The sequence below is a fragment of the Homo sapiens genome, chromosome 2, assembly GCF_000001405.40.
Source record: "Homo sapiens chromosome 2, GRCh38.p14 Primary Assembly".
Lineage (NCBI taxonomy): Eukaryota > Metazoa > Chordata > Mammalia > Primates > Hominidae > Homo > Homo sapiens.
The window spans coordinates 138,000,487-138,028,081 of NC_000002.12; the positions used below are offsets into that span (position 1 = coordinate 138,000,487).

The following is a 27,595-nucleotide window of genomic DNA, read 5'->3' on the forward strand; positions in this document are numbered from 1 at the left end:
CCTAGCCTACTCTGCCAGTTCTGAGGTGCATTTTTTTTTCGTATTTTAATACCTCTGATATTGTTATGCTCTCCAGTTGATAAAAATCTTAAAATTTTAATTGACAGTGGCTTTTTTCTAACTTGGTGAAACAAAAATAAGGGTTAATTTCCTTCTACAATCAACAGCATCTTTGATTTGATGAAATATAGTGATAGATGTTAAAGATCATGTAAACGAATGGATGGCACTCACAGCCCTCCTTGAGTCACATTACTATGCCTACTTAGAACCTAGCTGCCCTGCATCATGGCAGGGCAGCAGTTGAACATTATTCTTTATTTATGTTAGGCTTTCCTAGTAAAGGTAGGGCAGATAATAAATCAGCTAAAATTGTTTTTAATCATTTCTTGCTGGAATGATGTGACCTGTCCCATATGTTTATCTTCTAGGTGAAATTGATCTTCAAATTCTCTCCAAAGTTCAGGCTCAATACCCAGGAGTTTGTATCAACAATGAAGTTGTTGAGCCAAGTGCTGAACAAATTGCCAAATACAAAGGTACCTGTAACTCCTGGTCCTCTACACCAGATCCTATCCCAAAAGACTTAACTCAAATTGTTCCCTTGAATGATTAAAAATATAGTTACTGTGGTATGCTTTTCACAAGCTTATTGGGAGAAGAACTGAATTAGTTCTTGGCAGGCATGACTAAACATCTCAAAATGTGAACAGTGAATAATAAACTCCCTTTTCTATTAACACTTCATCCATTCCCCAGTTGTCATCAATGATTACCTTTTGATGTTTATGCTTAAGTACAGATTCATTCATTGATCCAGAATTATTTAAACCAACCTTAAAGAGCTTATGTTTAGTGGGTTACAGTAAAAGTTCACAAACTTTTCCTGGCAAAGGCCAAATAGTAAATATTTTAGATTCAGAAGGTCAATTCAGTCTCTGCCATAACTAATCAACCTGCCATGTGCCACAAAGGCAGCCAAAAAGAAAAATAGGTAAACTAACAAGCATGGGTGTGTTTGAATAAAACTTTATTTGTAAACACTAAAATTTGAATTTCATATCATTTTCACATATGAATTAGCATCCTTCTTTTGTTTTTTTAAATCATTCAAAAATATAATGACGTGAAACATGAATGGCAGTGACACAAAGTCAGGAAGTAGAACGATATATGTTTTTAGCTTGCGGTTCATACAAAAATAAGTAGCAGGCTAGATATAGTCCCTGGACTGTAGTTTGTCTTCTCCTGAATTATACAAACATATCTGTTTCCAATTCACTTTCCATTGATAAAATTCACCAGTTGATTCTTCATTAATACTAAGACAATATAACCTATTCTGCCCAGGGTTCTTGTAATTATTTCTTCCTGACTCTTTCTTTCACCTCTAATTTCATTAAATACTAGAAACCAAAAAAAGCAGTATGAACTCTCTGGTCTCCCAGACATAAGAAAGAAAAACGTTCTTTCTATCTGTTTGTATATAACATTGATTGCATTAAAATTCTAAATGGAAATGGTTTCCACATTTGCAATTAAAATTGATGGTGTGTCACCTCTTCTCTGTATTTTAGAGCTTGTAGCCAAGACATCGAACCTCGAGAACGTAAAGTTTGCTTGGCATAAGGAGACATCATCTGAATACCAAAGTAGAATGTTGGAGAAAAAGGAGCTTCAAAAGTGGGACTTTATTCATATGATTCAAGTAAGAAATATGTATTATAATATATACTCAGAAAGAAGACTTTTCAGAATATATATATAATGAATATCTACTATTCTAATTTTTAAAAGGTAAATGAAAATCTTCTGATTTCTAATTTTACAAGTGACCATGATCTGCCCAAATAAAAGGTAAAGATGTTTATTATACTAAGATTCTCTTTAACATTCCAAAAACCAGTTTTCTCTAATCAAAATACCTCTACAAGTTATCCATTTTTAAAAATGTTGGCTTAATTCTTATTTCTTTTTTGAGATGGGAGTCTCGCTGTGTCATCCAGGCTGGAGTGCGGTGGCATGATCTTAGCTCACTCTAGCCTCAAAATCCTGAGCTTAAGCAATTCTCCCACTGCAGCTTCCTGGTTAGTTGAGACCACAGGTGTGCACCACCACACCCAACTAATTTTTTATTTTTTGTAGAGATGGGGTCATACTATGTTGCCCAGGCTGGTCTTGAAATCCTGGGCTCAAGTGATCTTCCCTCTTCAACCTCCAAAAGTGTTGGAATTACAGGTGTGAGCCACTGCACCCAGTCTTTAATTTATTTTTATATCATTGGATGTTTATATAGAGATTTGAGAATGATAGCATCATAACATATTCTCTAGTGGCTCTAATGGTTTGGGTGGACCAATGTCCCAGAGTGTTTCTGTAGTGGACATATGGTCGAAGGGGCAGGTTAAATGATGCCTCAGTTCAATAAATTTTTACTTCCATTATCCAGATCCGACAAACTGACTCATACATGTTATAGAAAGGGAGTGACGCAAGAACAAAAAACCAAACACCGCATATTCTCACTCATAGGTGGGAATTGAACAATGAGAACACATGGACACAGGAAAGGGAACATCACACTCTGGGGTCTGTTGTGGGGTGGGGGGAGGGGGGAGGGATAGCATCGGGAGATATACCTAATGCTAGATGACGAGTTAGTGGGTGCAGCGCACCAGCATGGCACATGTATACATATGTAACTAACCTGCACATTGTGCACATGTACCCTAAAACTTAAAGTATAATAATAATAATAATAAAAGAAAGGGAGTGACTATTGAGTAGATAGCATGGGGCTGGATTTCCAGAGATAACTAACATTTCTGAATAGCATAAGGGATGTATGGGTTTTGGAAGTTGGTTACCAACGGGAAATGTACGTATTTTGGCAATACCACTTGATTAACGACAAAACACTATTTTTCTTCCTGGTCTACAATGATAATCACCCCAAAAGAATAAACTTACAAGAAGTCAAAGGAAGAAATACTCCAATTGTGTCATATACAGGCAATTCTATGTCTCTGCTTCTTTAGCTGATGAAATCTTTTGCCTGTCAGGTAGTACTTATCACTGTCCAGGATGCCAAGATATTTCTCTACCAGACTTGCTTTTGTTCCCACTTCCTCACATAACTATTTCATAACTCCCCTGTCTCCTTACCACTCCTGCAATCTCTCCCAGACCATTCGTTCTGAGCCAATGACCTCACTTCATAATGTATAGAGAAAATAGAAACTGCCAGATACTCATTTTTTACCCTCTAACTTTGCAAACATAACTGCATTTGTGCATCATCTCCTTCTTCCATCTTATTGCAAAAACCTCCTCTTATCAAAAACCACTCCCTCTGCTTAACCCTGGATCCCATTCTTTTCTCTGTTATAAATATTGTGATTTCAGGAATCAGCTTCTCTTTCCTATTTCTCTTAAAACTTCCATGTTTGTTCCTTCTTTCTTATAACAACTCTGTTTCCCTCTGAATCTCTATCCTGTTCCTCTCTCTCCATCTCTGTCTATGCCCCATTTTTCTGTGCAGCGTCTCTGCCTCTCTATTACTCATTATAGTCCTCACACTCTTATGATACTTTTACAACCTCACTGTCAATTCAGAAAATTTCACTGTCTTTGAGAAAAATTTAAGGTATCTTCTATGGCCCACTTCCACATTTCTAGCCAGGTCATATCGTAGATTGTTAGCCATCATATTGATTCACTATATTTGGGTACCTGCCTATGGTCCCTGTGGTGGAAAATGTGGAGTGTGGCCCCTAAGGCACCATGAGCCATGCACAGGTCAGGTCCATTTTATTTCATTCATTCATATGAAAGAGGCACAGCTAAAGTACTTTTCCTTTGTGCAATGAATTCTCTAAGGACAGGCTATATGGAATATTGAATTCTTGTCCAACAAAGATGAAGATGAGATATAAGAAGTGTCTATGGGGGTGGGGTCCAAAGATGCAAGCCATGGGGAAAAATTTCCCACGTCAATGCCTAAGTCCAAGTTCTGTGTTGGGTGGAAAGGCCTGTACTTCACTAGAGATTGATCCAGAATTATTAAAAATGGGTGTCCTGACCCCTAAACACCCTGTGACCAAGCAGATAACCTCATGCTTTATTTAGTCCAACTTCCTACAGAATCTGTCATCATCAGAGGCTGTCACATTTTCTGTGATTTTAAAAAAGCATCTGTGAGCATATGGAGAAGCTAGTGCAAAGGGCTTAATTGTAAAGTAACGTTCCATGAAATGGGGTCTGTTTTTATGGTGCCAGAACCATTTTCTCCCAGAAGAACTGCAATTCACGAATTATAGAATAGGCATAGGATTCATGTCCCCATGTGGAATGGTGACTAAGTGTCTCCAGCTATAAATGTCTGTGCTATGGAAGCCAGAAAGAGTAAATTTAAAACCATTTGACTCTAGTCGAACAAATACCATACTTTTCCATTTCCCCAAATATTTTCTCACATTATTGTTCTATGTCTTCATGCAACGTCTTTAATCTTTAAATTTCTTAAGTGTTTTCTTGGGTAAAAATTCACTCAACTAGAAAATCAAACTTTCTAGGAGTATCTAGCCCAAGCAATAAAGACTTCAACATACAGAAGCAGCTCATTTCTCTTTTTCCTCCTTTCTAGATGCTGTATTATGTAAAAGACATCCCAGCTACCCTGAAATTCTTCCATAGTCTCTTAGGTACCAATGCTAAGATGCTCATTATTGTTGTGTCAGGTAAGTTATTTTCATTCAGCCTGAATTTTAAAACAGCAATAATACACGTATGCATGGATTCCTGTGTTTGAAAGAAGCTTATATATTTTGTCTTCATTATGAAATTCTTGCCTTGGCCTCTAATCATAGCCAATTAATTTTCACAGTATTAGGGAAGTCATTCACAACAGTTCTCAATTTAGAAGGTATAGTGGAATTAAACATCTGTCTACTTCTTTCTTTTGGGAAAATATGTCTTTGTCTTCTATATATGAATCCTTTTTATATAGCTTAAATTCAACTGACAAAAGATTTTAAATGAGACTAAAAATAGTAAACATTTATTTTACCTACTTCGTGTCATTTGAGTGTTTCTTTTCCCTCTATGATGTTTATTAATAAATAAAGGTTAAACTATTTCAGATGTCATCATTTTTAATTGACTTGCATTCTTAGAGCCATGATCAACACTGCTTGCTATAGGTTTTTTCAAATGCCTATCAAAAACAGTTCATTTGTTTTGTTTTGTGTTGGTGTTTTATTTTCCAAGGAGGCATGTGAGCATGTCCAGTTGCTGCCAGGGATTTAGTAAGTATCACACAGAGAACCCAAGTAAACATTTTTAGATAATGAAACATTGACATTGTTGAGGACAGTATTTATTACTTCTTTCATTCAGCAATCTTTATGGATTTTCTACCAGTACTTACAGGTTGATTTTAGATACACAGCAGACTCTGTCTTCCTAAGGTTACACCAGACCCCATACTTTAACACCGTATGTCACAAAATTGACTTGTTCTTAAATATGAAGAATTGCTTTAAAGATGGCAAGCATGGTTATAGCTTGTAATCCTGGGTTTGACCTTATGTGAAAGTTTGGCAATAGAGAGCTCCTGTACACAACCTCTCCTGCAAGGGAACATTTAGATATACTATTTTTATCTCTATTTAGTTAAAAATACTCATTTATGTGGGAGAGGTCTCATTTCCCATTTAGAAGGGCTTATGGAAACTGGACTCATCCTACTAACCTCTCTCTGAGCTAGTAAAGCACTATAAACTGCATTTAGAATTGCAAAGTAAACTTAGTTATCAACATTGTAGGCAGCCTATTCTTGATTATATTCATCAATCATACAGAAAAAGTATTGTAGACGGAAATAACAATTCATTGAGAAGTCATGTATTTTTTATCTTAGAATATATTTCATCTCAATAGTAGGTCTAATCTCTTATTTATATTTGGCTTATTCTAACATATTTTCAGAAATTAAGTATCTGAGCACCCAGAAGTTAGCTTTCTATAAGTATATATTACCAATAAGACAAAGCCAGCCTGAAGTTTAGAAGGGAGCATGAATAGTCCACAAGTAACTGAGAACTGATTAAGTGCCCTTATGGCTACAGTATTCTGCTGGCTGTATCATGAATGAATTAATTGATGATTATTGGCATCAAGAAATTTGAAGACCAAAATAAACCCAATGAAATGTGTTGTATGTTAATACATGGTGCAAGAATACTGAGGCACTTTTAACTATGTGAATTTGGTCTCTGCATCTCAGTTTATTCAAGGGCTATTTCTGGACAACCTTATCTGCATTATATTACATCTTTTCATATATGTGGCTCATAAGTACCATCTGTAAATAAGCATTCATCATAAAAAAAATCAAAAGAAAGGGAGTAAAGACTCAACAATCAGTTAGCTTTTTTTGAAAAGTATTTTTAGTCAAAAATTATTTAACCAAAGTATTTGATGATGGAAATGTTTTACTCACTTTCTCAATATGCAGTTAACAATTCTTCATTACTGCTTATAGCACAGGAGACAGCTGTTCCAAAGAGGAAAACATTGTTAATAGAATGCAACGAATAACATTTGACAGATGATTAAAGAGATTCTGATGATCTCCTTCCTTTACCATATCACTTCTTCTGAGAAGAGATTTACACAGCTATAGCCATCTATTTCTTCCTAAAAGAAAAACCACTTCGCAAAAGTAGAAGAAAGATTTCGATATTTTATTTGGGGCTTTCTACGTCTCTCTCTCCTAAGCCTAAGAATGTCTTGGCTTTTTTTGCCTCTATTTGTCAGAATGCTAAGAAAATAAATAAATTAAATATAAGTTAATTTTTTTTAAAACCTACTTTTCCCAATAATGAATACTTTGCAGTGAAAAATAATTCTACCTGAAAAGAGAAATAGAATTGTGAAATATGTTGATCATTGTCATCAATTTAGTAGAACTGGAATGTCCCCAGATTCTCCAATCCTATCGGCATGTCATACTTAACTCTTAAAGATCCAGAGTAAATGATGGAGTTCTCATTTCAAGTAACTTGGGTAATCCATCCCCTCATCATCACTCCTTTACTCCTGAGGGTTCCTGGGGGTCAGACTTAAATGTTCCTGGTGATTGCCATCCACTGTGTGCTCCAAGTTCAACTTTTGATTTCTTCTCCCCAAATCTTGCATGTGCTGCAGCCGCCCTTTCTCATCTTGTTTCACATTGCCTTAAACATGGACATAGTCCTACCTCCTTCCTTCTCCAAAACACCATTCTTGCTTTTGACAGATTTTGGGACCTGTGGGGGAGAAAGAGGAACAAAGAACAGAATTTAGCATTAAGGTCCCACCGTGACTCTTTTTCTCACCTTTCTCTTGCTCAATCTGGACACACTTCCGTTGAACCTGCTCTCATAACTTCTCTCAGTCTTCCCTCATATCCTCTTAGTTCAGTGCTAAGATGCCACCTCCTCATTTTCTATTGCAACCCTCTTTTTTAACTTTTATTTTAAGTTCAGGGGTACATCTGAAGGTTTGTCACATAGGTAAACGTGTCCGGGGGGTTGTTAAACAGATTATTTCATCACCCAGGTATTAAACCCACTACCCAATAATAATCTTTTCTGCTCCTCTTTCTCCCCCCACCCTCCATCCTCAAGTAGACCTCAATGTCTGCTGTTTCCTTCTTTGTGTTCATCAGTTCTCATCATTTAGCTCCCACTTATAATTGAGAACATGCGGTATTTGGTTTTCTGTTTCTGCATTAGTTTTTTAGGCCAATAGCTTCTGGCTCCATCCATGTCCCCAGAAAAGACATGATCTCTTTATTTTTTATGGCTGCATAGTATTCCATAGTGTATATGTATCACATTTTCTTTAACCACTCTGTCACTGAAGGGTTTTTAGGTTGATTCCATGTCTTTGCTATTGTGAATAATCCTGCAATGAACATTTATGTGCATGTGTCTTTATGACAGAATGATTAATATTCCTCTGGGTATATACCCAGTAATAGGTTTCCAAACCATACTATAGGGGGGTACAATAACCAAACAGCATGGTACTGGTACAAAAACAAGCACATAGACCAATGAAACAGAATAGAGAGACCAGAAATAAGGCCGCACACCTACGACCATCTGATCTTTGACAAAGCTGACAAAAACAAGCAATGGGGAAAAGACTTCCTATTCAATAAATGGTGGTGGGATAACTGGCTAGCCATATGCAGAAGACTGAAGCCAGTCTCCTTCCTTATACTATATACAAAAATCAACTCAATGTGGCTTAAAGACTACCTAAAACTATAAAAACCTGGAAGACAACCTAGGCAATACCATCCTGCACATAGGAACAGGCAAAGATTCTGTGACAAAGACACTAAAATCAATAAAAACATTGGCAAATGGCATCTCATTAAACTTAAGAGCTTCTGTACAGCAAAAGAAACTATCAATAGAATAAACAGACAACCTACGGAATGGTAGAAAATATTTGCATAGTATGCATTTGACAAAGGTCTAATATCCATCATCTATAAGGAACTTAAATTTACAAGAGAGAAACAACCCCATTAAAACGTGGGCAAAGGACATGAATAAACAATTCTCAAAAGAAGACAGAGATGTGGCCAAGAAGCATTTGAAAAAAAGCTCAACATCACTGATCATTAGTGAAATGAAAATCAAAACCACAATGAGATACCATCTCATACCAGTCAGAATGACTATTTATTAAAAAGACAAAAAATAACAGATGCTGATGAGGTTGTGGAGTAAAAGGAACACATACATTGTTGGTGAGAATGTAAAGTAGTTCAACCACTGTGGAAAGCAGTATGGCAATTTCTTAGAGAGCTAAAAGCAGAACTACCAGTTGACCCAGCAACCCTCTTATAGAGTAGTTTAAATCCCTTTTGTTCTATTTCTATCACCTAGATAAACCTGTGCACACATGAACTTGTCTTAACAACAACACATTTCCCTGAGATAAATTGTTTTGCCCCCCTCAGTGTATGATGAGGGTGATGGTAGTTTCCTATTTTAAAAAAATAGCAATAGTTGCTTTGTTGTATTAACATACCCAATAGAAATATATTGGTCAGCTTTTGGAAAAATAGATCAAGTCTAGTTTCCAACATTGGAAACAAATTTGATCACAAGAAATTTCCAATCAGACATTTTCATATTGATGTCAGTGAACACACATAGGAATGATCCACAAAATTACTACTCATTGTTTTCTTTCAATGATGTAGCTTCAAATCCCTATCTGCTAGACTAGTCAGTGGAAAGAAAACAAGTTTGAGAAACCTCATCAGCCGAGGTGTTCCATCTACATCCCTCCTTACCCCTGTTTAGGAACCATTGCCTAGCTTGCCTTCTCCACCAGAGCTATAATTCTTTAAACCCCATTTTTCATTTACTCAACAGATTGAAACATTTCCTAAAGTTGAATATTGACCCAGAACTTGGAATGTCTATACCACATTGGTTTACACTAAGTTCTGTTTTTATTAAGATTCTTTGGGTCACTTTCTTAATGGAATTTGCTTCATAATTACCTAAAAGGGAAGATGCTTCTGTGTATGTTCATTTGTTTCAGGGTAATATTGTCATCCATAGCTGCTCTCCAATGCACAAAACTGAGTACTCATGGTATATAGGGAGGCATATAGGGACATTCATCTCTGTTCCTACATCTTTGTAAAGACTTTGGCACAGAGACAATACTTAGTAAATATGTTTTAATTGAACTGAATAATTGTTTATTATTTCTGCCTTATGATATCAGAACTACAATAAGCTCTGAATATACATCCAAAAAAAGAGAATATATTTCAGCTAAAACTGACTTGACGAAATCAGAGAACACAGGAAGTTCTGGATATTTGCAGATGAAGTTTAATAAATAGGAATAAAAGGCTCAATAAAAAAGACACACGCACACACACACACACACACACACACACACACACACACACACAGCAAATGGAAGCAGCCAGACAAAAGCAATAAAGAACAAACAACTAAAACTATTTGTGTATTTTTAGGGAAAGAAAAAGAAATTGAAATCAGAATTAAATGACAACATTTACTGGTCAGCTTATGGAAATATATGTTGCTTGATGGAAATCAACCTTTCCTCTGTGTTTCTAAATATCCATTACAGAATTACCCTAACTCAAGAGACTGTCATTTAGTGATAACTAGTAGAAGTTCCTGATAATGGAGATGAAAGAAATTTGATTTGGGGATAAAAAAGAAGAGATATAAGAACAAGAGAGTTGGATTTCTTTAAAAAATGTGGAGTATCCCACACTAAAATGGTATCAAAGAAAAGTTTTTTTCTGCAAATGTGATAGCCAAGCATCAATTGGGAGGGTTGCTGTTTAAAAGGCAGCCTGTCTGGTTAAGGGAGATGAGCCAGAAGGAGATCACTGAAGCTTTCTGTCTGTCCTCTCCTTACCTGAGTAAGGAAGGAGGAAAATCATTGTGTGTTATTTTTAGTGCAGTGAGAAAAAGAAAATCTGGCTTACATCATGTTGAAAACAAAAGTAACACCATATGTTGTGCCCACCGAGAGCCATTATGATAATGCATTAGTCGGGAAGTGCATAATTGCTCAGCTCAGAAATGGCACCGAGTCACAGCACTGACACCAGCAAATTTTTTGCAATTAGTGTTTGGTTCTTTTTTCTCTGCCAGGTTAAAAATAATAATAATGATGATAACAGAGCCTCTCTTCAACCACTGAAATGCTGATTTTCTTGTAATGTCTTGTTTGCCGGCAAACTCTTATTTAGGAAGACAATCCACTGTCTTTGGAATAAAAGATTTTTAAATAAATACTCACAACCCTCATTTATTTTCATTGAACAGAGGTTTTATTCTTTCTGCTTCATTCCAATTCCACCTTCTCCTAGAGCATATCCTGCAGTTACCTCTCCCTCTTCTGAAATATAAGTAGAACATCAATTATCCTAGGCTATTTATTATTTAGCCTATTATTTGTCTTGGTTCATCTCTTGAGTTAAATTAGATCTGGGAACTTTAGCTTAATCCATGCATGAGCGCCAAGGGTCTTTGAGCATTCTATAATCTTATGCAGAACTGTGTGGGTATGTATTGTTTGTGTATTTTTCTGGAGAGTCAGTTACTCTCACTAGATCATAAAGGGGACTTGGGAACCAAAAGTATCTCAAGACATTTAATCCTAGAAGCACAAAGAAAGTATAAGTTGTCTCTTATATTGCTTTTGCCAAATCCAGTTTAACACTTCAGTAACGTTAACTATTGTGTCATGGTTCTAAGGGTCTTTACTTTATTAACTCAGTGAATCCTTGTAGCAGTCTATAAATGGATTATATTATCACCCCTGTTTTACAGATGATAAAACTGAGACACAGGTTCATAAAGTTGGTAAGAAGGAAAGCCAGGCTTCATACTCAGGCAGTTGGGTTTTAGAGACCATGCTCTTTATTACTGCCCTGTACTGACTGTGTATGTAATATGCATGTATTAGAAGGCCCATAAATAGAAACTCATTATTATTATTATAGATTTCTGAATAGCAGGCTTGCTTTTTTAGTCTCAAGAATGCAATCAGTGGAAATACACTAGCAAACTAATTCATGTATTTTATAAGCACTTATTACACATCTTTCATGTGCGTACCATTACGCAATAATTCACTTAAATTATCTCATGTAATGCTTGTAGTTGCATTCAAGGTAAGTTTGATAATCCCCATTTTACAGATGAGGAAATTTAAGTTCTGAGAGGCTAGATAACAAGCCTCATCTCATTCATAAAGCATCAGAAGAAGAGTTCAGCTCATGTCTGTCTCCCTCAGATAAGGTATTCCGTAGCTTCTCTGCAGGGTTAGAATTTCAGTTTAGTACTACAAACATTGCTAAAAGGTCTTCTAAACTTGGGGACAAGATTTATAGAAATCCACCTAGTTATTGTCAGTCCAAGGCAGCATCTTTTTTTATATAGAGATGAGAGTAAAAAATCATTGATTTGAGTAAATCACCATTTACTGTGCTCTTTCTTTCCATTTTAATTTTCACTGTTAAAGATTCTTGTCTGAATTCCAGACTAACAACTACCTTCCTCATATCACCACCTGAATGTCCAGTAGGTATCTCAAATTTATATTCCTGAAACCAGAGGCCTGATGATACAAAACTGCTCGTCTTCATTCTTCTCTCCAACAATGGCAATTCTGTCTTCTCAGGCGCCCTCACAGAAATTACTGGGGTCATCACTGATTCTTTCTTTTTACCCATATCCTACATCCAAATTGTTGGCGAGCCCTGTTGGATCTCGGAGTATAACACATAAAAACTCCCACCACTTCTCTTCACCTCCCAGCTCACTGGTCTGTGGGACCCACCCCCACCTATCCCCCAGGTGATTACAGTAGCCTTCTCGCTGTTCTCCCCACCTCTGCCCTTATGCGCCAGTACTCTCTTCCCATCGGTGAGGCCAGGGTGACCTTATTAAATGTATATTGAGTCATTCTAATGTGCTGTTCCATACAGAAACCATGTTTTAGTAGTGAAGTTGAAACTGAAATTAATTTAAATGAATGAAACTTAAAATTCAGGTCTTCAGTAACACTTGAAACTCAAGTCCTAAGCCACCTTTCAAGTGCTCCATAGCAACAAGTGGTGAGTGACAATCCTGCTGGACAATGCAGATATCGAACGTGTCCATTGGTTCAGAAAATTCTATCAGACAGCATTACAGTGGTTTCCCATTGGGCCCCAAGTGATCTGGGCCCTTCATCCACTCCCCACCCCTAATCTCTCCAACCTCATCTCTTTTCCCTCTGCCCTCACTCATTCAGCTCCAATTTCACTGGCTTCCTGGCTAGTTCTTTAATGGGCCAAGTATCATCCTGTATTCAGGTCCTTTGCAGCTGCTCATCTCTCTCCTGGAGTCATCTTCCCCCTGATATCTCCATGTCTTGCTGTCAGGTCTCTGCTCAAATGTCAGGTTATTAGACAGACTCTGCGACCACCCTAGTTAAAACAGCAGCCCATCAAAGTCTTTAACCCTCTTAGCATTTACTCAGATTACTTTTTCATTTAGCATTTATCACCATATATTTACTTATTTTTCTCTCTCCTCCTGTACTCCTTGAAATATGAGCTGCACAAAGGACAAGATTATTATTTTGTTCTATTCTAAGCATCTAGTGTACTTTCTGGCAGACTGCAAATGAAAGAAAGAATAAATGAAAGCATGACTTGTGTTTTATTGCACAGGAAGCAGTGGCTGGGACAAGCTGTGGAAAAAGTACGGATCACGCTTTCCCCAGGATGACCTCTGCCAGTATATCACATCAGATGACCTCACTCAGATGCTGGACAACCTAGGGCTTAAGTATGAGTGCTATGACCTTTTGTCCACCATGGATATATCTGACTGCTTTATTGATGGTAATGAAAATGGAGACCTGCTTTGGGATTTTTTGACTGAAACCTGCAACTTTAATGCCACAGCACCACCTGATCTCAGAGCAGAGCTTGGGAAAGATCTACAAGAGCCTGAATTTAGTGCTAAGAAAGAGGGGAAGGTTCTTTTTAATAATACTCTGAGTTTCATAGTGATTGAGGCATAACTATCAATCACAAAAGTATATTCAAAAATTATATTTTGAACAACTCGAATCACTCATTTATTTCCATATTAAAATCACAAACTCATCCATTAATGTAGATAAAGCACTGTTTGGATATGAGATGTAGCAAATTCCAATACATTATTGGACTTCCATTTGGAATCATATGGGATACTGCTGGTCTTATCCTGTCCCTCCTCCAGGTAGAGAGACCACAAGCAGGCTCAACATAACATAAGCTAGAAAAATTAGATGACTGAATTTCTATGGCATATTGATAATAAAATTCATTCCATTTGCTGATTGTCTGAAATTTTCTAGAATACTAATAAAATACATACTATAGATTCTTTATTAGTGAAGTATGCACTAATCAATACTTTGAACACAAAGCCTGTGTTACTGATTTGGCCGTTTTGTGAAGAAACATTTATCTTTGTACGTTCTTCTATTGTGCTTTCTATCTAATTTTTATTAATTTGTAAGAGTAAGCACCTTTAGAATATTAAAAATTAATTCTTTATCACATGTTGTCATTTCTTCCCATTGTGTTTTCTCTTGTAATTTTATCTGTGAATTAATAGCTTTTTGTTTGTCTTTTTGATATACTGAAGTTTTCTATTATATTCAGCCAGATTTTTTTTTAAGTCTCGGCTTCTGATACATTTTAAAAGACCTTCTAAAACCAAGGTTTTAGAATACTAACATTTTATCAAAATAATATTATAGTTTTGCTTTTTTTAAAAAATGAAATCTTTACTATGTTTGAAATTTAGATAAGTATAAACAGTGAGAACAAACTGTTTCCCCTCAAAATAATAGCCAGATGTATAAACAAAATTTATTGAAGAACAAAGAAACACAAAACTAAACCTGTTCTAGCTTAAAATGCAGCTTTTACCAGATTTCTAGGAATTGGGTAAATGCAAGGTTCTAGAAAACCTTCAATGCATTTTGATACTTTATAGTTTCTTATGTCACTCTCAAGAACTCCTATAAGACCAAGAGTCATCTTTGGACTGTAGGATTTCAGGGGGGTTTTGAAAACAAATTTGATGTTTCTTATTTTTAATAATAACGCTCTGTTATTTTTGACATAAACAGTACATTTAATAATTAATAAATAAATATTTTAAGTATGTAAATAATTAGTACTCCCTGTCACAAACAAAACAAAAGTAAGGTTTTACTAAACAGCTCATGAGCCCTCATTCTGCCAGTGAGGAAGCCTTCAACCCCGTGTGATACTCACTCTTTCATGCAATAGGGCTTCCATGTAATGTTGCCGTATAATCACTTTAAAAAGTTAAACGACCCATCTCAATCACCTAGTTTATCCCCAGGGAATACACTGGCATAGAGAGCCTATTTACACTAATAAACTACCAAGCTTTGTTGTTCATAATAAGTAAAATGGACTTGCATTGCTCTCTTTTTTGGACAACTTCATCAATGCTTTTTGAATTATATGTTTCAACAAATGAAACGACAGTTATCCAATCAGATTCCTGAAAATGAACACTGAACCGTTAATCATACTGATATGTACTACTGACAAAGGAAATCTGTGAGGCACACATGATTGATGGGTATGGGGCCATGAAGACCTTGAAGAGCTTCACCAGAAGTATGGAAATCAAGACTTTACAGAGTCTTTTGTATAAAGCACACGTGCAAAAACAAACAAAATTAGAACTAACAATGCTATTGAAAGATACAAAAGAATTGCAGTCCATAGATTGGTGTTTGTAAATATGGCCTTTTTCTCGTCCTTATTAAACCCTTAGTATACAAGGATAAATAAATTCTCACCTGCTTAATTTTAGTGCAATTGAAACACATAAGCCTTTTTAAAGAGAGAAATTCCCATGAAAACCTACTAGTCAGCAATGGGAAGTTGTATAAATTCAAGGGATAAACCTATCCCTGTTTTCTTCCTGCACTGTATGATAATACCAAAATTTGGGACAGTCACATACTAACTTTTCAGATTTGTTCTTGTGTTTCAGAAAAAAGTGCTCAGCATGAATTTGGAATGTTGTTTTATGTATTGTTGTGGATCTCTCAGTGTTTAACATGGTGCCTTGCATATGGTAAATGCTAAGTAAAGCGGGATCAATGAATTATTTCCTTCTCAAACATTTATCTTATACCTTGTGTGTTCATATTATTATTATAAACAGAGCTCAAGAAACCCAATAAAGTTATGTGTTGCCAGTGTAAACCTTAACTTATTTAGGACTCTTTCAGACACTTTTTTGCATGTATTGTTGGGGCATATTGCCAAAACCCAAAGAGAAAGCATGATGTGGAGCACAGCATTTTAGGGCTTGATATTTGCTTATTATAAAAATTGGTGACTTTTTTATGGCCCTGCCATTCTGGGCCATAAAAGTTAAGTAATTTCTAATGCACAACCATAAAAAGAGATGCAAGGGCCATAGGAGAATACTAGATCTTAAGTCTGTGGAACTGCACAGACCCAAATGTATATTTAATGTATTTTAAATGTTTGTTTAATGAGAATAGCTGGCACATAATACTTTATTATTGAAATCATATTTATATGTCACCTCATCAGAATGTTACTTCTAAAAAAATGTGGGCTTCTTGCGAAGTCCCACAGTGGAGTGAGTGGATTAAAATAACCTTGTTAAATAAAGCTGTAGAGCCAGACTTACTGGGTACAAATTCCGGTTGTATTAATTACTCACCAAGTGACATTAGGTAACTTATTTTCTCTCTATTCTCATATTTCTTCATCTACACAATGAAGTGAATCATAGTATCTACCTCAGAAGATGGTTACGAGAAGCCCAGGAGTTAAGCTTCATAAATATGCACATAAAGCATTAGACTCATCAGGAATACTCAAAAATATTAACCACCATTGTTATTAGTTACTCATGGAAACTCAATACAAAATGCAGAGTAAATAAAAAGTTTAAGGAAAATTACAACTAAGGCCAGAGAGCTAGTACTTGTAGGAGCCGACCTAGTTTCTGACCTTGTGATTCTTAGCCACAGGAAGATGGCCTCTGTGTCTTTCAGAGCTAAGCTGGTCCTCCAAGAGACTCAAGGTGCCATCAGGATTCCACCATCCAAGCCCCACCTTAAGGGATCTGCCTCCCTGAGCTATCCATGCTCTAAGTGCCTGTGCTCAGTACTATGTGAAATGGCCCCATCTCAATCCTGCCTGATGAGACTATCCAGCTGGCACATGGATAGAAACCTATAGGCAGAAATTGATGAAACAGTCTTTCTGAAAATTATGAAATGCATCCATCAAAAATTCTCTTAAAAATGTGAAATTACAAATCTGGGGCAATGAGACATTCATTCACTTATTCGTGATATGTACAATTAATCAATATTTATTGAGTACCTCTTTGGTGTGAGGGAGTTTTCTAAGCAAAGGACATATCACAGCAAAACAATAACAACAACAACAACAACGAAGTTCCAGACCTCAGTGACCTGATTTCTAGTGGGTGAAATAGGCAAAAAATAAATATATGCCAGAGAATGATAGGTGGTATTAAGAAAATAAAAGTAAATAAGGGGAAAAGAGTACCAGATGGGGAAATATTAAGTGGAGTGATCAGGGAAGCTCTCTTTGAAAGAACAAGATTTGAACAGAGATTGAAATGCAGTGAAGGAGCAAACCATGCATAGAGTTGGGAGAAAAGCATTTGAAGAAGTACAAATACAAAGGCCCTGATGTGGAAATAAGCTTTACATATCTAAAGGACAATAAGAAGGCGAGGTGGCTTTCTATAGTAGCTGAGCTGAAAGGTCCTAAGATAGATTCAAGTCTAGAGTTGCCACTGTGGGCCACATGTGGGAGGACCTCACTGGGATGCCATGGTTTGAAGGTGAGGCATGGAACCAACTTGCAGAGAGAATGAGAGATGCCAGGAGTCTAAGACCACATGGCCTTTGAATGGGAGATGAGCTTTGGCTGTCTCAAGGAAGGGTTCTTGCAGTTTCTATTCCCATCTGTGTCTAACCTGAACAAATACCATTTTACTCCAGGTATCCTTGTGGGTGTCTGCTTCTTGCCTCCCAAATGTCTTAGGTAGAGCAAAATAGAAGATCTTATTTGGTTGTTACCTCATGAATTAGAAAGATTATTTATTATTATCCTATTTCATAGGTGAGGAAACTGAGATACTAATACACTGAATAATTTAACCCAGCTCCCAAAGCAAGTTGATAACAGGAAGTTAGCCAAACCCTATACCTGCCCGGCCGACTCACACTGTATGTCTGCATATTGGGCAAGTTAAATATGTGATCTTCATTCATCTTAGATGCGGAGTATGACTTCATAGAACTAAATCACCTTTGCCCCCAAATATCCACTTGTACATTGAAGGGGACCTGATTATAAAAGGGAAGAAGAAGCAATCAGAGGATCAGAGTACTATGAAAAAATCACCTCCTTGAATAATGAGATAGTACTCTTTCTAAATACTACACTTCAGTAACAAGTTCATTTTAAGCTTGTCATAAATATCTGATTTTTCCATCCCATTGCCTTAACTTTTGCCTGTATTTCTCTGCCTCACCTCCTACCAGGTCCCAGACATCACCAATTTCATGTTTAAATTATCTGTCATTCATACCCTAGCTCCCCTATGATTCATAAACTGTGCAATACACATCCATAGTACATGATCAACTAATGCAGGATAGTTAAAGCTAAGGATCATGTAATCCATTTCTCAGTGTGATATACACCATAAAAAGGCAACTGCAGTAAAAGGGGGGTTGATTTAAGGGCTCCCTGGGTAACGACAGTCACAATTTCTAAATGTGCCAAAAATTAATTAGGGCTCTGAGTCAGATTGTAGTAATCTCTGTGGCAATGGATTAATAAATACAGCAAGACGCCGTTCTGGAGGCTGCACTGACACATGGGGATACTCTGTATAAGCAGTGCCTTTCCATGATCATATTCTTCTCTTGAAGAATTATCTGTGTTTCCTGGCTTGTCTTAATGATACTTGAAGGACTTTGCAAACAACCTGCTTAGGATAGAAAATGTTGAAATAAATCACAGGGGCCATGAGGTATAGTCCAACCTTGGTGAGTTCTCCAAAGACATTTGCTATAGAAGATGCAGAAAAGTGTCAGTACCTTTATTTATGTTCTACAGCTAACTAATTTCATGCTAATTTCATTTCTATACTGTGATTCCTTTTTCTGCATGTGTTGATATATGGGTTTCATGAGTTAATTCTCTGGTTTTCAATGCAGGCAGACTGGACATAAATCCCAGGGTTTTGTAGAAGAGGCAGTTGCTCCATGCTGCTTATTATCAGCAGGAGCACATTGCAGCCTTAGCTTATTTATCAAGATATTGCTGCCTCATGCCACACATTTCCCAACAGACTTCATCTACCCCACAATAGCCTTTAATGGAAGGTGCATTACCCTCCTTGTGGTTTGTTTATAATTACTTTTATTTCTCCAGGACTGATTGGGAGAGGAGTTTGGACTTATTCTTCATTGTATAAGTTACCCAGGCAAGGAAATTAGCCAGGGCTTACTGCTCCAGTAGAAGCCTCATGGGATGGATATGTTTGGGCAAGGTTGGCAACTTATGAGTTTCCCATCTGTGTGTCCTAGGAATGGTGGAGCAAAAACTGGCTCTTCAGCTTGGCTGCTTCCCTCTGTTTTCTTTGGCCATTCTAATTCATAGTTTCCAGCTTGAAAAAGAGTTAATCATGGAGGAAGATTCTTTGCTAAATAAAACAGACCATAAGGGATTTAAAAGACCCCATTTTAATAATAGTTAACATTTCTTGAGGGCTTATTACGTGTTGTGCTCATGTTAAGTGTTTATAGGCATTATACAACCTAATCCTCATAACAAGCTTATGAGTGAGTTAGTTACAATTTCTATTCCAATTTCACAAAGAAGGAAACTGAGGTTTAAATTATATATTAAATTATATAATGTGTACCTCATTCTTACATCTGGTGGAGCCAGAATTCTAATACACACGAATTAACCCCAGGGACCATGTTCATAACCACTACATCTTGCTGTCTTTAATAATGTTGACCTTCATTGCCTCTCTGTCCCTTTTCTTCCTCTTTAAGTTTCATATAGGAATTATCTCCTAGCTTCTTAATTTTTATCCTATTTCCCAGGGACGGATCTCACCTGGTGACTCTAGCATAAAGATAGTACCTGTTTGACTTGATCAACTTTGGCCCAAAATATATTATCTTCAAGAGGCAAAATATATTATCTTCAAGAGGCAAAATACATTATCTTCAAGAGGCTACTCCTGTATGATTGTGGCTTGGTCTCTTGGGCAAGAGAGAACAATCCCAGTAAACTGATCCATTATTTTGACCTTGTATAAACATATCCTCAGTTACTGAGCATCTGATAACAAAAGCCTTTTTAACAGCAATATTGAGCCCAGTGTGGCTCCAGCTGGACAGAGTCATTAGGTGAGGTGGCAGAGACTAGCCCCCTCTGCCTTCCTTCTATGGTAATAGAGTGTCAAATTTTTAACTAGGTACAAGCCTGCCCAGATAAGACTACATTTCTTATACGCCCTTGGAGTTTGATATAGCCACATGACTAAGTTCTAGGCAATAGAATGTGAGAAGAAATAACACAATTTGTGGAACATGATGACAAAGAAAGAGATATATTCTCCTCTTCTACTTTTTTTCCTTCTGGATGGCTGGAATGTGGTAGTCAGCTATGCCAGACCATGCAGACAAGGACAGCAACACCCTAGGAAATGTGGAGAAACAAGGTAAAAGGAGCCACATCCCTGGACCTGATGGAGCAGAGTTGCCATTTTGGGGTGGACTACCTACCCTCTGAGTGTCACCTGAGAGAGAAAGGGCATTCTACCTTGTACATACAATGTTAACTTTTTTAGAGTAATAGCAACTGAAACCATGCCCAAACTACCATAGGTAGCTTAATTTGACCCACATATTTCCCATCTGTTTCAGAATCTTTTTTTTTAATCTGCAAAGGAAGCCACAAGAAATATTATGAAAATGGTAAAAAAAAAAAAAAACCTTGGAAAATATAACATAAGTTATATTGAGGGTAGGAAAGTGGATGACTGCATTGGAAGAAAAACATTCTTTCAAATGGGGCCAAAATACCAAGATGAGAAGTGCACTCATCTTATCAGTCACCTGAGTCCTAGATATTTAATCTGCATTATGTCAAATACCCAAAAGATGAGCAGATGACTTAGTCATTCATCATGGTATTTAGTTAGATTTCAATAAAACATAAAAATATGAACATTAACAGATTCTATGAATGGTGCCCATGCACTGCTTTTAAAATTTCTGTGGACTGAAGAATGACCTGGGTGGCTTTTTAGATATGTAAATTTCTTGGTTCCGTCCCAAATCTGAACCATGTGTGCAGTTCAGGAATCTGTCTTTGTGAACTGACCAGGTGATTTTCTGGCTCACCAAAACACCTAAACCTGCAATATATTGAGGTTTGGAAAGAATGTTATAACAATAAAAAATAGTAATAATTATAGAAACATTAAAATCATACTCTTACCTATCTCGACCAGTATTTATCAAATTGCTGCAATTAATAATAATATTATCCACAGTGAATTGAGTACTTATATTTGCCAAGGACTATATAAAATTCTTAACGTATTATTTCATTTTGTTTTCACAATAAAAAGTCAGTCTTTAAAATTATTATTATTTTTCAGAGGAAGAGTCTGAGGTTTGATAGGTTTAGATAGACTTGCCCACAGTCTAAGCTAAAACGTGATAGCGTGGGGCCTTTTCTGGATTTTTCTCCCCCACAGTCCAGGTGTTTAACTCTTAGACAGGAAGGTCTTTCATGGAATCTTGGAGCTGTCATCATTCAGAGAGAAAAATCATGGCTCAAAGGTTATTCAAGTAAGCAATAGTGAGCACACAGGTGTTCAGAATGTCTGTACCTGCCATTTGCAAGATGTCATATAGGATCTGTGAAAAGACATGAGTTCAGGGATTAGAAGAAAAGAGAGAACATAAAAACACATTTTCTGAGCTAAAAGGCCAAGCTTCGTATAAATCATTTTAGCAATTTTAAACAAACACACACACACACACACACACACACTTTAGAGATGTAAAAATGCTTTCAGCGGGTTCCCAAGATTGTGATGACTCTAGTTTCAGAATTTTAAATTCACCATGATTTAATAAAATATTGTGAATTGTTTCAATTTTATAGTTTAATTTTACCGATTTTTTTTTGTCTATGTTTGGCTAAGTTATGGTTAGCGTTTTTCAATTTTTTTTTTTTTTTTTTTTTTTTTAAGCTGGAGTCTTGCTCTGTCTCCCAGGCTGGAGTGCAGTGGTGCGATCTCGGCTCATTGAAACTTTTGCCTCCTGGGTTCAAGGGATTCTCATGCTTCAGCCTCCCTAGTACCTGGGACTACAGGTACACACCACCACCCCCAGTAGATATTTTGTATTTTTTGTAAAGATGGGGTTTTACCATGTTGGCCAGGCCGGTCTCAAAATCTTGACCTCAAGTGATCAGCCGACCTCAGCCTCCCAAAGGACTGGGATTACAGACATGAGCCACCACACCTGGCCTACATATAATATCTGTGTGTGTGTGTCATACACACCCAGACATAAAGACGCACACAAATCATTTATATATGTACTTCCACATTTGTATCCCAGCTGTCGATCTCTACAGTGACAGAAAGCATGATGTGGATTACAAATTCATTTTAAGATGAATACTTGTGCATTTTCTTAATTTAAAATAATACTTGCATAAGCAAGACACCAGTATACATCAAATTTTAATGGGGTCCTTAATTACAAAAGGAAGTTAAACAAAGAAATTAACATACAAGATGTCACATTAAACTCAAAGACATCAATGTATTTTATGCTTTTGTTTTATAGCAAGAGTTCTGAACCAATGGTACTACTAGGTAGAGGGAAAAAAAGTCTTCACTTTCAATAAAAATAAAAATGCTAGAATTAAATAGATTAATATCTAATTTTATACCTTCATTTATATTATGTGCAAAATTATCTTAAATATTTGTTATGGATGAAGTGGCTTTCTACCAAATTGAGCCTTTTCATAGTAGAAAATGTTAACATAAATTGTAGCATAAATCATTGCCTCATAGAATACCAGAAGGCGCATATAAAAACCCATATCTTTACTGCACATATTTCCCATTAACCATAATCTATTAGTAATTGAAGTTCATTACAAATTCTTGTAGACTTTATTGCTATCATGCAGCATGACATACTGGACCTGGCTTGCATAACAAGAAGTCCTTGCTGGGAAATATCCTATTAACAATGACAGTGCATTTGTCATTGTGATAATAAACCCGAGAGCTGTCTGTAGACTATAAATTATCAAGGCGCCATTTGTGCTGCCCTGGCTTGAAGGTTTGTCAGTGTTTCCATTTTAAACCCTTGATTTTCAGTGAGTTGTAACTCAACTATCGTAATCTGCAGTGAGCTGCAACTTTACATCCAAAACAATTCTTAAATATGACTTACATTTTCCAATCAGGAAGAATAGAGGTCTGCTGGCTTGAGCACAATAGTATCAAAGAGATCTGTAAAACATAACACTTTCGGCCAAGAAAAATATGTTTATATCTGGTCCAGAATACCTATGGATATTTAAAATCAGAGTTTCTAATAGTTCCTTTTTTATGCCTTAAAAGGACATTATTTATCTTTTTGAAGGGTAACAACTAAAAGCAAATGTCAGGCCTTCAAGGTAACTACATATGTCAGGGGATTTTTCCTTTCATGCAAGAGCCTCCATTTCCATCCCTTTCAGATTAATAATTTGAAAAATAGAAGAATTTACATGGAGCAGTGAGACACATTGCTGTCAAGGGAAAGGAACATTTGAGAAGCAGATGTATATTTGAAACAGAAATAGTAATGACCATGTAAATAGATGTGCCTTTGGCTTGGAGGTGAGCTTTACCAGTCTGTGACATTTCTCAGCCAAGGAGCTGGAAGCCAGCAGAACCAGAAAATGCTTTCTGCATTACATAATGGACTGGTTCCACAATCTGCAATCGTTCTTACCTCAAATTGGGGTTGCAGACAATTACAATTACTTGAAAAATTTCCCCAATTCCCAAATTAAGGGCATTCACTTCTATGGATACACTGACAGCAACTAAAACTCTCGAGTCTCAAGTTTCTATAGAGGGTGATGAATTGATCTGAGCGCTTGGACACCAGTTGCATACAAGCCTGGATGCCAGGTACCACATGAAAGGTAAAAGTGAAGAAAGAGACTGGTTTCAGCTCTCAGAGAGGTTGCTAATTCCTAAGGAAGACTGACAAGTAAGAATACAAATATTATACAAGACAGAGTGAGATGTAAATGCAAAATTGAGCTATAAAAAGTACTTGAGGAAAGGTAAAGCGATTAATTTTTACTGGAGGCCTAAATAAACAGACATCATGGACAGGACACATTTAAGCAGGATCTTCAAGAATTTCATCTTTTTAGAGACCACCATACTCCCCGCTTCCACCCCTCACCCCATCATGTAACACAATGCCCTTTCCTGGGATGCATTACAATGTGAGGAGAATAACAAATTCGTACTATAGGAATGACCACTAGCTTGGATAGGGTGGACTAGCAGATACTTGCCCAACTTCTAACAATTACAAATACAAATTCATTGTCAGAGTATACCAATTGCTTAGAGTGATTGGGAACAACCAAAGTGTAGCCAGCTAGAATAAACCTTCTTTTATTTTAGGGAAATCCTAATGTCTGGGTCCTTCTAGCCCCCTTTTAATGAGACAATAGGACTTCAGTTTTACTCAGTCATTAAGTGAGGGAAAACACAGCAAATATTCATTATACTGAATTTATTCTCAAATGTGTTAAAAAAAAATCAAATAGTTCAGACAATACTAAATCAATGCTTTGGGTAGATAATTTACTGAGACTACATACAAAATCCCAAATCTGTGTCCCAGACACTATGCTAAATGATTGCAAATCATGAAGTAGGTTTTAATATTTCCATTTTATAGAATAGGAAAGTGATACTTAGGCAAATTGCAAGTTCTGAGACAGGTTATGATTTGCCTAATATTAAACAGCTATTCGGAGGTACCACAGAAATTCAAACTTTGGCTTACTTACTGCTTGGGCAATACCATGATCTCTAGCTGCCATTTACTTCCATTGTTGTCTTTTAGTCTCAAATAATAAATTAGAGAGAGCATTAAGAATGTTAGTTCTCGCCCTCTAAAACTTAGTTCCTATTACCAATTAACTATATTTCAATTTTTTTCTTCTCTTTCTGAAATAATTTCATTGGTGCTCTTCAGATATGTACCACCCTGCTTCAATTTTATCCTCAAGAGCTATTTCAAAAACAGTGATTTCATGTCTAACTAAAAGCAAAATAGGCCAGGCGCGGTGGCTTATGCCTGTAATCCAAGCACTTTGGGATGCCGAGGCGGCCAGATCACAAGGTCAGGAGTTCGAGACCAGCCTGACCAACGTGGTAAAACCTCATTTCTACTAAAAATACAAAAATCAGTGAAGCATGATGGTGCATGCCTATAATCCCAGCCACTCAGGAGGCTGAGGCAGGAGAATTGCTTGAACTCAGGAGGTGGACGTTGCAGTGAGCTGAGATCACGTCACCGCACTCCAGACTGGGCGACACAGCAAGACTTCATCTCAAAAAAAAAAAAAAAAAAAGGTAAAATGAGTAAAATGTTATTTTCTCATAAAGTTTATTGATTCTGTCAAAATTATATAATATTCTCTGACTTATTTAGAACAAAATTTGTAATTCAGGATCCAATTCTCATTTGAAAATAGCTCTGGTATTTGGGACAATCATGCATATAAAATTTGCTCACATTTAGATAAAAGTTCCGCCACTTTAATTTCAAATTCCACAATGTTCTTGGACTCTTTTCTTCCCATGTTAGCATCTTTGCCATTTGGATATGGCTATCTGTTAATTCACTTGCTTTCTTTTCAAACTCCTTCCTAGTGCTCTAATAAATCACATTTTTTTTCTATCAAGTTTAATGTCCTTTCATAGTGGTGAACATGACTTGCAGAGTACACAATGCACTGAAAGATTCTCAGCAAACAAAGTATGGTCATTTTGATTCCAAATGTTTGCCCAGGCAACAGTTTGCCATTTGGAACCAACCCGAAAGCCAGCAAAAGCATGATGGGCCATCTGCTCATTCTTCCTTTCTCATTCTCAAGAATTTAAAACAATTATTTCCATTCATATAGCTTTTTACTTTCAAAGCATTTACCAATTGCTGTGCATATAATTTCATTTATCAACTTAAGCTTTCCACTAAAATAAAAATAGATAATTCAGGAGAAAGTGAAAATCTACCATGTGTCTTATCCAGTGATATCACCATTTTTTTTTTTCTTTCATGGAGAACCAAAGAACAGGGACATCAAATGCCCCTCAGTGATAAAGCACATGACTTCAGTAAGTAATGTTTTGCTTTCCCTGCCCTGGCCGAGTTCCTATGCCCTCATGAGCTAAAGATGGTTCAAACTCAGAATAGGGAGGAGAGTAATTGGAAAAACAAGAATGTTAGATATAAGAGAGAACTATTGCTTGCCGTTGAGGGTTGGGGAGAGAACATATGCTCAACTTTATGCCAAATATGTGCAGTAACACAAAAGTCCATTTTAAATTTAGAGATCTGATAGTACAGCATATCTGGGTTCCATGCTGGGTGAAGCCCAGGAAGATAGCAAACTTCACGGAGAAATCTTTCTGTCATCACGGGCAGCTACTGTAGAGTAAAACTGTCACTTCTAATATTGCGTAGCCAAGCCTGAAGGAGAAGGAAGGGGCCACAGAGGACACTACACCCCAAGCTGTGTATTTCTACAGGCTCAAGTGTGTCTGAGACAGCATTCCAAAGATTCCTCCCACTGTACCTACTGCCACCCAAATGGGTGCTGTGAAAGGTCTGAGAGGACACTGGTCCTCAATGGATCTCGTATTTATGATGAGGAAATGCAGCCCTAGAGGGCAGGACTGCTGGGGTACCCTAAACTCTCTAAAGTCCTTTTCTGATCACATCTTCTAACTATCCTCACTTTGTAAAATTCTTCCATTGTGAATTTTAAAAGTTCTTGTCTATTATCATTAAAAACATCGGTATTCTCAATCCCCTATGTTCCAGAACCTGGCCCTGTTTTGAGGATACCATTTTCCCCATAGCCCTTTCAAATGATAGCTCTTAGCCCATTGCATTGTCATGTGCTGTGCTTGAAGGAAGGATGGTGTCCTCTTATCTCTTCATTGTCATTTCCTTCCTATCTTCTCTTCTTTCTCCATGAAAAAATCGACTTTGAATCTCAGGCCATCAGGCTATCCCAAATACCAGTCCTCCTTGTTTCTGTTATTAACTCATACTTGGAGACCATTTTCTCTTGATTTTTGAGGATTTTTGATCCTGGCTCATTGTCACTCTTTTTATACCACTCCTGCTTTTTGGTAATTTCAATTTCCCTCCAACCTAATGTTACCCTGCTAATATCCTGGCTTCTAAGTCACTGACCTCCTTTCTTCCTATGTTCCTCTCATCTATGTTTTCCAGCCATTCGCTCACATTTGCTCTCTTGTCTTACCCTAACCATGTGCCCTCCATATTTTCCATTCCCAGTATCACATTCTGCTATGTTTCCAGCCCACTCCCTCCAGGAACTCCTCTCCAACCTCCCTTTGACCTCATCAGAATCTACAATTTCTCCATGATATCAATGTTACACTTTTCCTGGCTTGCCTTCAATTCAATCCTCTTTTAATCCAGCTTAAATTCTGGTGACCAATAATTATAATCCCTCCCTTGCATGAATTTTTTGTCACTCTCTCACTTCATCATAGGCAAAAACACAGCCCTACTT

The 27,595-nt window shown here is 36.8% G+C and overlaps 1 protein-coding gene and 1 long non-coding RNA gene across 5 annotated transcripts in view; one reads left to right on the forward strand and one right to left on the reverse strand.

The window, feature by feature from the left end:
• The window catches only part of HNMT (histamine N-methyltransferase), a 51,892-nt gene extending 36,014 nt beyond the window's left edge, over positions 1-15,878 (forward strand). For 3 of the 4 annotated variants that reach the window (NM_006895.3, XM_011511064.3, XM_017003948.2), the window contains 4 exons: positions 432-539; positions 1,578-1,708; positions 4,646-4,739; positions 13,289-15,878. In NM_006895.3, the coding sequence (NP_008826.1) occupies positions 432-539; positions 1,578-1,708; positions 4,646-4,739; positions 13,289-13,644 (689 nt within the window). In that variant the 3' untranslated portion in view covers positions 13,645-15,878. Of the gene's footprint in view, positions 1-431; positions 540-1,577; positions 1,709-1,797; positions 4,285-4,645; positions 4,740-13,288 lie in introns of those variants that run through there. The other variant, XM_017003949.3, reaches the window with a different exon arrangement.
• LOC107985948 (uncharacterized) overlaps positions 5,360-27,595 on the reverse strand; it is a 37,893-nt gene continuing 15,657 nt past the window's right edge. The window contains exon 3 of the long non-coding RNA XR_001739719.2: positions 5,360-7,310. This is a non-coding gene — a long non-coding RNA (uncharacterized LOC107985948). The remainder of the gene's footprint in view (positions 7,311-27,595) is intronic.